The following is a 15,371-nucleotide window of genomic DNA, read 5'->3' as shown; positions in this document are numbered from 1 at the left end:
TGTGCCACCGCACTCCAGCCTGGGCAACAAGAGCGAAACTCCAACTGAAATGCTTTTTTTTTTTTGAGACGGAGTCTCCCTCTGTCACCCAGGCTGGAATGCAGTGGCACAATCTCAGCTCACTGTAGCCTATGCCTCCCAGGTTCAAGCACTTCTCCTGCCTCAGCCTCTCAAATAGCTAGGATTACAGGCACCTGCCACCATGCCTGGTTAGTACAGACGGGGTTTCACCATGTTGGCCAGGCTGGTCTCAAACTCCTGACCTCAAGTGATCGGCCTGCCTCGGCCTCTCAAAGTGCTGGGATTAAAGGTGTGAGCCACCACGCCTGGCTAAGAACAGCCTCTTTTAAAGTGTCCTCCAGCCTCTAACCTTACAACCTGCTGCCACTGCAAAATGATGAAAGTGACTTCAGAAATTACCGAATTCGAGGAGTTCAAACTCATGGAGAGATGAACTCAACCATCAACATTTTTTTTCTAGTTGGATCAATCATGCATTGATTGATACAATCAATTGGTTGATCAATGATCATGGGGTTTCACCATGTTGGCCAGACTGGTCTCAAACTCCTGACCTCAAGTGATCCGCCTGCCTCGGCCTCCCAAAGTGCTGGGATTAAAGGCATGAGGCACTGTGCCTGGCTAAGAACAGCCTCTTTTAAAGAGTCCTCCAGCCTCTAACCTTACAACCTGCTGCCATTGCAAAATGATGAACGCGACTTCAGAAATTACTGAATTTGAGAAGTTCATACTCATGGAGAGATGAACTCAGCCATCAATATTTTTTTCTAGTTGTATCAATCATGCATTGATTGATACAATCAACTGGTTGATCAATTGGTTGAGAGGGCCTCAAGCAACTTGGGAACCCTCATTCATCACCACCACACATTGGATTTAAGGTCTTAACCTTTTTAATCACCAAGGGCTCTTTTCTTTTTTTTTTTTGCTCTTTTTTTTTTGCTCTGTCACCCAGGCTGGAGTGCAGTGGCACGATCTTGGCTCACTGCCAGCTCCACCTCCCGGGTTCACGCCATTCTCCTGCCTCAGCCTCCCAAGTAGCTGGGACTACAGGTGCCCACCACCACGCCCGGCTAATTTTTTGTAGTTTTAGTAGAGATGGGGTTTCACTGTGTTAGCCAGGATGCTCTCGATCTCCTGACCTCGTGATCCGCCCGCCTTGGCCTCCGAAAGTGCTGGGATTACAGGTGTGAGCCACCGCGCCCAGCCACCTCCAGTATTTTTAAGTGTGCTGCCTATCATATAAATATCTGTCTGCTCTTACTGTAAGCTAACATATAATTTCAGTTAAGTTTTCTGAAATAATGAAAACTACTTGAGGACTGACGTTGCTGATTTGGGGATAAGGGATTCTGAAATGGGAACTGCTGAATAAAGCTATAATACAGTGTTGGGTTTTTCCACCCCTCACCTAACTGTATCTTTTGAAAAAGGCACAACAATGACATCTCTGTACTTGTGCAAATCGTCCAACATTCTAGCAGTGGGACAGGACGGCAAATCTCCGCCTTCACCTTGATCACGAAGTGTAACCATGTGGTCCCTCACTTTACAGCCCTGTCACATAAGAGACAATAAATTAGAGGTTAGTTTGTTATAGAACACTCCTTTAAAGATCACTGTTTTTCTTTTCTTTGCCAAGTCATATTGTCATATACATATTTTATAACTTTTTCTCAAGAAAAACATTCCTCATACAGAAAAGAGATTCAATCATAACTGTATGGCTTAACAAATACCCAAGAATACCCATATAATCACAATCCACATTAAGAATTAGAACATTACGAGCACTCCAGGAGTGCCCACAGGCCCAATTCTGATCATAACGGTTTCCCTCCTCCCAACAGGTAACCTCTACCCTGGCTTGTGGTAATTACTTCCTTGCTTTTCTTTATCCCTCTGCCACTTAAGGATGCATTCCTAAACACTATAGTTTAGTCTCACTTGTTTTGTTTGACATTATGTTTCTACTGGGTGAGGTGGCTCAAGCCTATAATCCCAGCACTTTGGGAGGCCAAGGTGTGTGGATTGCTTGAGCCCAGGAGTTTGAGATCAGCCTGGACAACATGGCAAAACCCTGTCTCTAAAAAGGAAGAAAAAAATTAGCTGGGTGTGGTGGTGCATGCCTCCAGTCCCAGCTACCTCAGGAAGCTGAGGTGGGAGGATCACTTCAGCTCAGGGAGGTCGAGATTGCCTTTAGCCATGATCAGGCCACTGCACTCCAGCTTGGGCGATAGAGTGAAACCCTGTCTCAAAAAAAAAAAAAAAAGAAAGAAAAATTATGTTTTTATGATTCAATGATGTTATTTCATGTAATAATAATATTTGCTTTAATGTATAGTGTTTCACTGCATGAATATACACCATTTATTTACTCTTCTACCACTGATGGCTTGTTTCTAGTTTGGGGCTACTAAAAATAATATTACTATGAACATTCTTTTATCTGTTTCTCAGTACACAAGTGCTCATGTGTACCAAATTATATTACCATCAGCAGTATATGAGGATTCCTGTTACTCCAAATGCTTGCTAACACTTGGTCAGACATTTAAATTTTAGTCATTCTGGCTCGGCGTGGTGGCTCATGCCTGTAATCACAGCACTCTGGGAGGCTGAGGCAAGCAGATCACTTGAGGCTAAGAGTTCGAGACCAGCCTGGCCAACATGGTGAAACCCTGTCTCCGATAAAAATACAAAAATTTAGCCAGGCATGGTGGCACGCACCTGTAATCCAGCTACTCAGGAGGCTGAGGCATGAGAATTGCTTAAGCCCAGGAGGCGGAGGTTGCAGTGAGCCAACATGGTGCCACTACACTCCAGTCTGGGCAACAGAGCAAGAGCAAGACTCCACCTCAAAAAAAAAAAAAATTTAGTCATTGTGGTAAATATGTATTGGCATTCATTCTGGCTTTAATTTGTGCTGGGATTTCTCCAGTTACAAATGAGGCTGTCCTTTTCATGTTTACAGGACAACTGTTTTTTTGTCTGAAGTGCCGGTTGTCTTTCTCCAATTTTTTTTTTTTTTTTTTTTTTTTTTTGAGACACAGTCTTGCTCTGTTGCTAGGCCAGAGTGCAGTGGTACGATCGCGGGTCTCCGCCTCCCAGGTTCAAGCAATTCTCCTGCCTCAGCCTCCCAAGTAGCTGGGACTACAGGCGCACACCACCACGCCCAGCTAATTTTTGTATTCTTAGTAGAGCTGGGGTTTCACCATGTTGGTCAGTCAGGGTGGTCTCGATCTCTTGACCTCATGATCTGACCGCCTCGGCCTCCCAAAGTGCTGGGATTACAGGTGTGAGCCACCATGCCCAGTCGGGATATGAGCAACATATATATCGACAAAAGATTCATTATATATCTATTTTGGTTTTTTTGAGATGGAGTCTTGCTCTGTCACCCAGGCTGGAGTGCAATGGTCCAATCCTGGCTCACTGCAACCTCCGCCTCCTGGATTCAAGCGATTCTCCTGCCTCCCGAGTAGCTGGGATTACAGGCGCCCACCACCATGCCCAGCTAACTTTTGTATTTTTAGTAGAGACAGTGTTTTCGCCATGTTGGCCAGGCTGGTCTTGAACTCCTGACCTCAGGTGGTCCGCCCATCTCAGTCTCCCAAAGTGCTGGGATTACAGGCTTGAGCCACTGTGCCTGGCCTATTAATATATACAATTTTTTTTTTTTCAGACGGAGTCTCGCTCTGTTGCCCAGGCTGCCGTGCAGTGATCTCAGCTCACTGTAAGCTCCACCTCCCAGGTTCACACCATTCTCCTGCCTCAGCCTCCCGAGTAGCTGGAACTATAGGCGCCCGCCACCAAGCCCGGCTAATTTTTTGTATTTTTAGTAGAGAAGGCGTTTCAGCGTGTTAGCCAGGATGGTCTTGATCTCCTGACCTCGTGATCCGCCCGCCTCAGCCTCCCAAAGTGCTGGGATTACAGGCGTGAGCCACAGCGCCCAGCCAATATATTCTTTTAAAGATGCCTACAAAGAAATATATTTTGCTCGAAACAATGTAGAAATATGATAGCTAAAATGGAAACAAACTAACCACAAATGTAAATTTGTGGTTACAAATTAATGTAGAAATTAATGTGGTTAGAAATTAATGTGGTTAGAAAGAACTGTAAAGACTAAAAAATCATGTTACTGAAACAAACATAATAGCAATGATGAATTAACGAAATATCTTGGGTCTAGCAAAGCTAATCTAATTTTGCTTAACGTCTCATGCCCAATTTAAGTATCTTTGTATGTAAAATATATAACTAAAACTTTAAGTATGAATGTTATGTAAGTAATCCATTACCTCACCAATAAAACTTCTAAGTAATCAAAGTTGGTGACCGATTGCAAATATAAGAAAACTAATGCAGTTAAAATTCCATGACCCATCATTCAGTAACATTCACGCCAATATCCCAAATTCCTTGCCCCTAAATTTCATCATCCCCATCTGGCAAAATCCTAACTCTAGATAAACTCAACTACCCATCTTCTCCCTGCCTGTACTCACGCAGACAAGGGTTACTGGAGAGAGTGATATAAACAGGCATGTTGAATTATATTGTGAATTTATGACTGCCAATCTCCAGTGAGCTCTCAAACTTCCCAGGAGTATACATTTTCTCTGGAAAATTCACTCTCCTGTTTTTCAAAATACTATTTCAAACCTTCCATACTCCCCTCAAACCCTGGAACCTTCTGTCTTCCCCCTTATTCTTAGTGGCTGGCTTAATCTACTTTTTAGAGAACAGAAAAAGCATTGGATTGGAATTAAGTTATCATCTAAATGACAAAAACAGAATTTTACTAATATCTACAACCATTCTACTCTTCTCTCCTGTTATAATAGAGGAGCTGTCCTCCCTCTTGTCGAAATTAATACCACTAAATGTGCTTAAGATCCCACCCTACCGTGCCTTCTCACCTTATACCATCAACCTCTCCTTCTCAACTGGATCCTTCCCACTGACTTTTAAAACGTTCTCTGGTATCAAAACAGAAGCAAGGCCAGGCACGGTGGCTCACACCTGTATTCCAGCACTTTGGGAGGCCCAGATGGGCAGGTCATTTGAGGTCAGGAGTTCGAGACCAGCCTGGCCAATATGGTGAGACTCCATCTCTACTAAGAATACAAAAATTAGCCAGGCATGGTGGCACATGCCTGTAATCCCAGCTACTTGGGAGGCTGACGCAGGAGAATCGCTTGAGCCCGGGAGGCAGAGGTTGCAGTGAGCTGAGATCGTGCCATTGCATTCCAGCCGGGGCAACAGCGAGACTCCTTCTCAAACAAACAAACGAAAAACCCCCAAAACACTAAACAAATATTCATAACCTAAATTACTAATCTATCTCCTCCCTTTCTCAAATTTCCCAAAAGAAATGTCATTTATACTGTTCCCATTTGTTTATCTCTCACTCACTTCTCAACCCATAAAAACCTGGCTTCTGGATCTAGCACTCCACCAAAATAGCTCTTCACACCTATGAATTCCCTGTCACTAAGGCCAAAGGACACAGTTCTTTCATTATTTTATTTGACCTCTTAGCAGTATTAGGCACCACAGTCCACTCTTTCTTTAATATTACTCCCTCAACTTTCATGGCAACATTCTCAATTTTCCTCCCATTATTCTGGCTGCCCCTGACCATTCTCCTTTGCAGGCTCATGCTGCTTCACCCAGCCATAGCTGTAGTTTCCCTCTGCTCTTCATACACTCACCTATACCTGCTGGCTTTAACTATCATCTATTGCAAGAAAACTTATGAGTTATTATCTCCAGCCTAGCCACTTCTCTGAGCTCCCAAACTCATATATCTAACGGCCTCTGCCTGGTTATCTCAGAAAGCATCTCAAACTCAAAATGTCCAAAACAGAACTCACGAGTCTCCCTCGAAACCTGATTTCCGTCTGCTGCTTCCTCTTCAGTGAATGGCACCACCAGCTATCCAGTAGCACCAACTAGAAACTGAGTCATCCTTCCCCCTCTCCCTCTGTAATACAATCTGTCAGGTAATTTCAGTTTTATCTCTTAAATATTAAATTCATCCACTTCTCTTCATCTTCACTGCTCTGGTCCAAGCTAACATCAGCTCTCTCTATGATAACTTCCTTTTGTACGTGATTCCACTGACTACCCCTCAAGTGTGCATTTTCCACACTGCAAATGATATTTTCCAAATGGAGATAAAAGAAAAACTTGAACATGGCTTATGAGGTCCTGCTCCTGCATGGACTGACACCTACCTACCTCTCCAGCCTTGTCTTGAACTATGCATGTTTTCTACAACAGCCTCAGGCTCTTTCAGTCTCTTTTACTCACTATGTTCCTTCTGACCTTGCTGTTCTGACTAGAATGCTCTTTCCTTTCCTCTTCACCTCACGTACTCCTACGAATCCTTCAGATCTCAACCTAATGCCAGCTCCTTTGAGGATTTCCTTGACATCTATGGCTGAATCATACCAGCCTATTACAGACATTTATGGCCCTGTATATGTCTTCAAACATTTCTTTGGGTGCTTTTTTCCCTTTTGTTATTACTGCCTCAGCTGTAAGTTCCATAAAGGCATAAATGATCCAAGTTTACAGGCTATCCTCTGCCTTGCACAGTGTATAGCACATCTTTGGTGCTTTATAAATATTTTTTGTATGGATGATGATAAAGAGCTTTAGGTTCCTTTCATTCACACGTGACATTTAATTACATAACATTTTCAAAAGTGTTTGTGATCAGAGAATCTAACCTACAGCAATACTCACACATTGCACCAATATATATGTGCAAGGATATTCACTGCAACACAGTAATACCATCAGTCTAGAAACCACCTACATGTTCATTAATAGGAGAATGGTTAAATTGTGATATATACATAGCTTGGAATATTATACAGCAGTTAAATAAAATGGCACAGAAAGATACCCTAGTTATGTTGTTGAGTAAAAAAGGCAAATTACAGAATATTATTAGTATGATCTTGTTTCCAATATAAAAAGCCATATATAAGGCTGGGTGTGGTGGCTCACACCTGTAATCCCGGCACTCTGGGAGGCCAAAGCAGGCAGATCGCTTCAGCTCATGAGTTCGAGACCAGCCTGGGCAACATGGCGAAACCCTGTCTCTAACAAAAATACAAAAAATTACCGGGTGTGATGGCGTGTGCCTGTAGTCCCAGCTACTCAGAAGGCTGAGGTGGGAGGATTGTTTGAGCCTGGGAGGCAGAGGCTGGAGTGAGCCGAGATGGCACCACTGCACTCCACCCTGGGCAACAGAGCGAGACCCCATCTCAAAAAAAAAAAACAAAAAAACAAAAAACAAAAACCTCCAAAAAATATATATATATATATATATAATTTGTGCCTGAAAGGTACAAAAGAAGGTCTAAAAGGAAACCATTAACAGTGATTATCTCTAAGAAGAGATGGAAAATGGGGGAGTGTTATAAAGAGGAACGGCTTCTTACTATATTTATGTATTGTTTGAAGTCTTTTATACATTAATGTATTACTGTTATACTTTAAAAACTGTAGCTACTAAGGGCAATATTCAAAATTCACCTTTGTAAGCTGAGTAGGATCAAACCGAAGAACCTTTTGGTTACAGCAGGGATAAATTCCAGTGCCAACAGTATTCAATGAACTTGCTGCAGTAGGATAAACCACTGTTTCTGAGTGGTATTGACAATGTGAAAATTCAATACAGAGAAAGGCCTGATAAAGACATAGATAAAATCAACTACTATTTCCACAACAAAATTATATGTTTCAAAAATACTTAAGACCAAATATTATATGTTCCATTTTTATATGAAATATGCAGAAAAAGCCAATCTATACAGACACAAAGTAGATTAGTGGTTGCCAGGGGTGGAAGGTTATAATGTGGAATAGCAGCAAATGGGCATGAGGGATCTTTTTGAGGTGATGGAAATGTGCTAAAATTGGATGATGGTGATGACTGTACAACTCTAAATTTACCAAAAAAAAAGTGAATTGCAGACTTAAAAAGAGTAAATCCTGAACACAACCTAACTTAATAAAAATAAAAAAATAAAATGAGTAAATTTTATGGCGTGTAATTCTACTTGAATAAAGCTATTAGACAGCAAAAAATGAAATCACCTTAAGCAAAATTCAGATGAATTAAACTGATCTTGATATACACTCAATTTTACAACTGGCCAATCACCTCAAATGTTTTCCAAAGAAAAATAAAATTTTGCTTCATTTGGTTATTCCTTGATGCTTTCTTTTTTGGAGATGGAATCTCGCTCTGTTGCCCAGGCTGGAGTGAAGTGGTGCCATCTAGCCTCACTGCTACCTCCGCCTCCCAGATTCAAGCAATTCTCCTGCCTCAGCCTCCTGAGTAGCTGGGATTACAGGCGCGCACAACCACACCTGGCTAGTTTTTCTATTTTTAGTAGAGACAGGGTTTTGCCATGTTGGTCAGGCTGGTCTTGAACTTCTGACCTCAGGTGATCCGCCTGCTTCAGCCTCCCAAAGTGCTGGGATTACAGGCGTGAGCCACCATGCCTGGCCCCTTGATGCATTTTTAAGGTAAATATTTAGCATCAGTATTAATAAAAATTATGACATAACTTTGAATCACTGGCTTTGAAAACTTTGATAAAAGCTTATCAAGGTTTAATTGTCAAATTAAACATCAGGTTTCAATTGTTTATAAGTTAGTAAAATAGGACCAGGTACGATGGTACACACCTGTCACTCCAGCTACTAGGGAGGCTGAGGCAGAAGGACTGCTTAAACCTAGGAATTCGAGGCCAGCCTGGGCAATGTAGCAAGATCCCATCTCAGGAAAAAAGAAAAAGAAAAAAAGAACATGGTGCAAGCACTGTCTAAGGAGTTTCAGTGGACACAGGTGCTGCTTGCGATGGGGAAGACCACTGGACTAGGCAGCTGGGGGCTGGTGGGTAGACAGAGGTTGTGCCACCAGTTCTGAGAAAAGGTTGGTTAGGATGGACCCTGAGTCCCAGGAGTTGGTTTGGAGAAGGGAAACTGAGGCTCTGAGTGGTAAAATTATTGGATTCAGAGATACTATGGGGCTCTGAAGGTTGGATTCTGTTAGCCTTGTGGGCTAGGGAGAGCATCCTTGAGTAGGTGATATCTTACTCAGATCTAGAGGGGACAAGACTTTTGGGCCTGTGCAGGGGGCACCATTGGTGGGTGATGATAATGTTGGGCTTTGAAGGCAGGAGATCTTGAGAAGGTAAAACCATTTTATCTAGAAAGGAAGGAAGTGGGTGTTGGGTTTTTGTGTCATGGTTGCGGGAGCCATTGGGAGGGCAATTCCATTAGCCAGTGGGAGGTAGAAAGTTTGTAAGAAATACCATGCCAGGGGACTGGAGAAAGACCCCAGATGTCATTGTTTCTGGGTGGAGATCCTGTGTGAGCGGTGGTGGTATATCCTAAGAGGGGGCAGTACCACTGGATGATTAAGGGTGGTCCCACAAGGCCTGGGGTGAAGAAAGACCTGAATGGATAATACCATTAATAGCTGTTGGGGAAAGGACCAGAAAAGGTGAAAAAGTGAAACCTTGGACTGGATGGAGGGGACATCGCTGGGCTTTTAGGAGGTACCCTGACTGGTACTCTGATCACTTGTTTCTTTTTGCGGGGGACTCTGAGGTGGGATGAAAAGCTATAGTACTGCACCAGGAGTGGGCCCTTGTTGAGAGAGTTCCTCACTGGGGGAGACTTTAAGAAGGGGAAACCTGAATAGGGTCCTGTCGGGGAGGAGAGGGACTCTGAGCGAGAACAGGTTAAAAACAAAAACAAGTTAGTAAAATAATTCAAATAAAAACAAAACATTAACAATCTAAGCACTGATCTTTTTTTTCTATTTATATTATGATGTACTGAAGTTGCTATTTGATAAGCAATGATCTTTAACATAAATGCATTAAAGAATAGTTTATAATTCAGAATTTTCAGCTGCCTATAATTCAGAATTTTTGGTTGTTAGTTTCAATTGTGATGTTCACATAATGGTTTTTAATTTTAAAAATTTGAGAACCTATAAAAACTATAAGGTGCACGTTCTCTTATATACAATATTCTGCATACAAACCATTTTATGAGTTTATGAGCTCTATAATAAATAGTCAATATCATCAATCAATATTCAATTTGCTGTAAAGGAGAGGAAAATAATCTCTCAAAGTTTCTGCATTCTGACATGTTAAGCAAGTCAGATTTTAGAAGCTTGATATCCTTGATTATGTCACACTCCGATTGTGAGGAGGACCTTTACACACCTATTAGATTAACAAAAAACCCAAACCTGACTATATCAATTGCTACTGAGATGGGGGGCAACTAGAACTCTCATATGTAGCTGGTAGAAATGCAAAATGGTTCCGGGACTTTGGAAAACTATTAGGCATGGCAAGTGTTAAACTACCACACAAACCAGCAATCCTACTCCTAGGTAATAAGAAAGAAGAGAGGCCGGGCGCAGTGGCTCAGGCCTATAATCCCAGCACTTTGGGAGGCCAAGGCAGGCGGATCACCTGAGGTCAGGAGTTTGAGACCAGCCTGGCTAACCTGGTGAAACCCCATTTCTACTAAAAATACAAAAAATTAGGCGGGTGATGTGGCGCATGCCAGTAATCCCAGCTACTCAGGAGGCTGAGACAGGAGAATCGCTTGAACCTGGGAGGTGGAGGTTGCAGTGAGCCAAGATGGCGCCAGCGCACTCCAGGTTGGGCAACAAGAGTGAAACTCCATCTCAAAAAAAAAAAAAAAAAAAAAAGAAGAGAAATAAATACATCCAAGAGAAATAAAAACCTATGTTCACAGGAAAACCTGTATTGTTTATAGCAGCTTTCTTCATAATGGCTCCACACTAGACCACAAACATCCTCCAACTGGTGAATGTCTGAACATACTGTGATATAGTCATACAACAGACTACTACTTAGCCATAAAAAAGAACAAACTAATTTATGAAACAACATGGATAGATTTTACATCCATTATTCGAAGTGAAGGAAGCTAGATTCAAAAAGCTAAATGCTATATGATCCTATTTATATGACGTTCTGGAAAAGGCAAAACTATATATAGAGAAAACAGACCAGTGGTTACCAGAGGCTAGGGTGGGGGAATTAATTGACTAAAGAGCGGCACAAAGAAATTTCTTTTAGGGTGATGGAAGTGTTACATGCTTTGATTGCGGAGGTAGTTATACAATTGTAAGCACTGTCGAAACTCACAAAAAGGATGCATTTTACTGTATATAATACTTCAACAAACCTTTTTAAAATTGTGGGAACACAGAACCCATTGAGTGGGAACTTAAACAGTTTAAAATCCCAATCTGAAGATTTTGACAAGCTGTTCTTCCTTCCCTCTATTGAAAATCATTACGCAAGTGACAGAGGAAAATTACTGGGGAGAGGAAAACTTTAGGGATTCAAAAGAAATTATTTGTCGAAAACTCTGCATTTATACATAAGATTAATTAGGAATGACTGTGACTTAGAAAAACCTATTTATTCCACAAAAGGGTTTATTATAGGTTCCTACAAGTAGCAAGTTTTCTTATGCTTTTATTATAAACATTAATTAAAAAACAAAAACTTTTTGGGAACAAAATTGTTGTAACAACAAAGGCACATATCAATAGCATCCTATCTGCAAAGGTGCTTCTGAATTTCTATAGAAGTGTATAGAACAACAGAGAAAATAGTTTGGCTGGAAACAAGTGAAGGCAATAAGGATTTTTTAATAATTGTTTTCACTGAAAAACTGGATTTGATCACTTAAAACAAGTGACTTTTTTTTTTTTCTCTTTTGAGACAGAGTTTCCCTCCTTTCCCAGACTGGAGTGCAATGGCGCAATCTCAGCTCACCGCAACCTCTGCCTCCCGGGTTCAAGTGATTCTCCCACTTCAGCCCACTGAGTAGCTGGGATTACAGGCATGCGCCACCACGCCTGGCTAATTTTGCGTTTTTAGTAGAGATGAGGTTTCTCCATGTTGGTCAGGCTGGTCTGGAATTCCTGACCTCAGGTGATCCACCTGCCTCAACCTCCCAAAGTGCTGGGATTACAGGCGTGAGCCACCGTGCCTGGCCAAAACCTGTTGCTTTTCTAAAAATTCAACAAGTCTTTGATTGTTTCAGGAATGGAAATAAAAAAAGAGAAAGAAGAAACAATGTCAAGAGAAATGAAACCAGATGCAAAAAATGTTTAACAGCACCATTGCTTTTGCCACTAGTTTTATTTTATTTTTATATTTTATTTTATTTTATTTTTGAGATGGAGTCTTGCTCTGTCACCCAGGCTGGAGTGCAGTGGCACGATCTCAGCTCTCTGCAATCTCTGCCTCCCGGGTTCAAGTGATTCTCCTGCCTCAGCCTCCCGAATAGCTGGGATTACAGGCATGTGCCACCACAACCGGGTAATTTTTCGTATTTTTACTAGAGATGGGGTTTCACCATGTTAGATAGGATGGTCTTGATTTCCTGACCTCGTGATCCGCCCACCTCGGCCTCCCAAAGTGCTGGAATTAGAGGCATGAGCCACCATACCGGGCCTAGTTTCATTTTTTTAAGAGATGGAGTCTCACTATGTCACCCAGGCTGGTATTGAACTCCTGGGCTAAAACGATCCACCTGCCTTGGTCTCTAAATGTGCTGGGATTACAGGCACGAGCCACCATGCCCAGCTGCCACTAGTTTCTTTAAAAAGATGTTGGATATTGTCAAAACACATTTAAACATATCAATTAAACAGCAGATATCAAAATAATCTTGCTCTCAATATTTGCAGAGCAGGATATTTAAAAAAAAAAATCTTACCTGATAACATCTTGAACAAGTCAGCCAATTGATTGTTCCCCACAATCGCCAGTATACATCTCTCCAAGATTTTAATTCTTCGAAAAGACTATTCAAATACTCATGAACATCCCATGTCTTATCTCTGGAGAAAGAGCCTCAATTTTACAAGCAAGTGATATAAACAATTTGTTTTATTTATTTATTTAATTATTATCTTCTTTGAGATGGAGTTTCACTCTTGTTGCCCAGGCTGGAGTGCAATGGCATGATCTTGGCTCACTGTAACCACCACCTCCAGGATGCAAGCAATTCTCTTGCCTTGGCTTCCCAAGTAGCTGGGATTATAGGCGTGTGCCACCACACCCAGCTAATTTTGTATTTTTAGTAGAGGCAGGGTTTGTATATTTGGTGGACAACAGGAAAAGGTATGAATGATTTGAATACCAAATAATTTTGCTAAGCTAGATAAAGGATTACAAATTAAATATAGTTTGAACAGGCCAAGAGTTGGGAATTAGGCAAATGTTAAATGGAAGCTTTATTCTAATTGCATATGTTATATGACAAGTTGTTATTAGTTACTGGTGATTCTAAACATTAGAATCATTCATGTATTAGTACTTTATATCACTAATAACATTTCATTAATGTATTAGTATTTTACACTATTTTCAAGTATCTTTTAGTAATTGAGTGATACAGAATATACAATCAGGTCTTGGTAATATAGATTTTTAGATTAAATAATATAAAGTTAAAAAATAGCAAAGCCTCAAAACCATATTTGCTATGGTCATATGCAACTCAAGTTTGTTTTTTGTTTTTGTTTTTGTTTCGTTTTTGAGACAGGGTCATACTCTGTTACCCAGCCTGGAGTGCAGTGGTGCAATCATCATAGCTTATTGCAACTTCAAACTCCTTGGTTCAAGTAATCCTCTCGCCTCAGCCTCCTGAGTACCTGGGATTACAGGTTATGTGTCATCACACCTGGCTAATTTTTTTTTTTTTTTTTGGACGGAGTTTCACTCTTTCGCCCAGGCTGGAGTGAAGTGGCGCGATCCTGGCTCACTGCAACCTCTGCCCTGCTGGGTTCAAGCGATTCTCCTGCCTCAGCCTCCCGAGGAGCTGGAATTACAGGTGCATGCCACCATGCCTGGCTAATTTTTGTATTTTTTTAGTAGAGACGGGGTTTTACCACATTGGCCAGGCTTTTCCCGAACTCTTGACCTCAGGTGATCCACCCGCCTCAGTCTCCCAAAGTGCTAGGATTACAAGCATGAGCCACCATGCCAAACCTACACCTGGCTAATATAAAACAATTTTTGTAGAGAAGGGGGCCTCACTATGTTGCCCAGGCTGGTCTTAAACTCCTGCCCTTAAGCAATCCTCCTGACTCAGCCTCCCAAACTGCTGGGATTATAGGCCTGATTCTTTTAAGTCTTTATTTCAATCTTTTCTAATTTTGCTGGTTTTGTGCTTAGCTCAAAAATAAAATGTCATGATGTTATTACAAATTACACAGGCACATTTGTCTTAAAAGTAATTTTAGGCCAGAGAGGCTTACTCGGGAGGCTGAGTCTGAGGCAGAAGAACTGCTTGAACCTGGGAGGTGGAGGCTGCAGTGATCCAAGATTGTGCCATTGCACTCCAGCCTGGGTGACAGAGTGAGACTCCAACTCAAAAAAAAAAAAAAAAAGGAATTTTAAAACAATTTTTTAAATGTATACATCTGCCAGGAATGGCGGCTCACACCTGTAATCCTAGCGCTTTGAGAGGCTGAAGTGGGAAGATCGCTTGAGGCCTGAGGCCAGGAGTTGAAGACCAGCCTTGGCAACACAGTGAAACCCTGTGCCTACACACACACACACACACACACACACACACACAAACCCTGTGCCCACACACACATACACAATTGCCAGGTTGCCAGGCATGGTGATGCACACCCATGGTCCTAGCTCAGGAGGCTGATGTGGGAGGACTGCTTGAAAGTCCAGGAGTTCAAGGCTGCAGTGAGCTATGATCGCACCACTGCATTCCGCCACTGCATTCCAGCCTCAGCAACAGAGAGAGACTGTGAGCTATGATTGCACCACTGCATTCCAGCCTGAGCAACAAAGACTGTCTCTAAAATAAAAAAAAAAAGGTATACATCAACTGCTGACATGTAGGAAAATACTTTGAATAAAACAACAAAAATGGATGTTGAAGTTAGTATCAATTACTTTTTTCACATACTACTAATAGGTGTATATATATATATGAAATTTAACATTCATAGGGTTTCTTTCATAACAGTGTGTGCTATAAATTTGTAATATAGAAAAAAGAACAACAAAAAGAAAATTAAAATCATCTGTAATACTATCACTGAAAGGTAACACCACAATTAATGTTTTAGTGAACATCCTATTTTTTTAACCACTAACAACTTTTATGTATCTATGTACTTTTTCATAACTTTGTTTTGCTCTGTTGTCCAGACTGCAGTTCAGTGGCATGCTCCTAGCTCACTGCAACCTCAAACTCCTGGGATCAAATGATCC

At 41.5% G+C, this 15,371-nt stretch overlaps 1 protein-coding gene across 7 annotated transcripts in view; it reads right to left on the bottom strand.

Moving 5' to 3' along the window:
• Window positions 1–15,371, bottom strand: part of SANBR (SANT and BTB domain regulator of CSR) — a 72,162-nt gene that overhangs the window by 32,602 nt on the left and 24,189 nt on the right. For 6 of the 7 annotated variants that reach the window (NM_001330433.2, NM_001330435.2, NM_001129993.3 and 3 more), the window contains 3 exons: window positions 12,844–12,967; window positions 7,579–7,731; window positions 1,433–1,578 (listed from right to left, as the gene is read on the bottom strand). In NM_001330433.2, the coding sequence (NP_001317362.1) occupies window positions 1,433–1,578; window positions 7,579–7,731; window positions 12,844–12,967 (423 nt within the window). The remainder of the gene's footprint in view (window positions 1–1,432; window positions 1,579–7,578; window positions 7,732–12,843; window positions 12,968–15,371) is intronic. The other variant, NM_001330434.2, reaches the window with a different exon arrangement.

The sequence above is a fragment of the Homo sapiens genome, chromosome 2 (assembly GCF_000001405.40).
Source record: "Homo sapiens chromosome 2, GRCh38.p14 Primary Assembly".
NCBI classification, from domain to species: Eukaryota; Metazoa; Chordata; class Mammalia; order Primates; family Hominidae; genus Homo; species Homo sapiens.
Note: the sequence above shows the minus strand (reverse complement) of the source record. Positions and strands in the feature narration are given on the sequence as shown.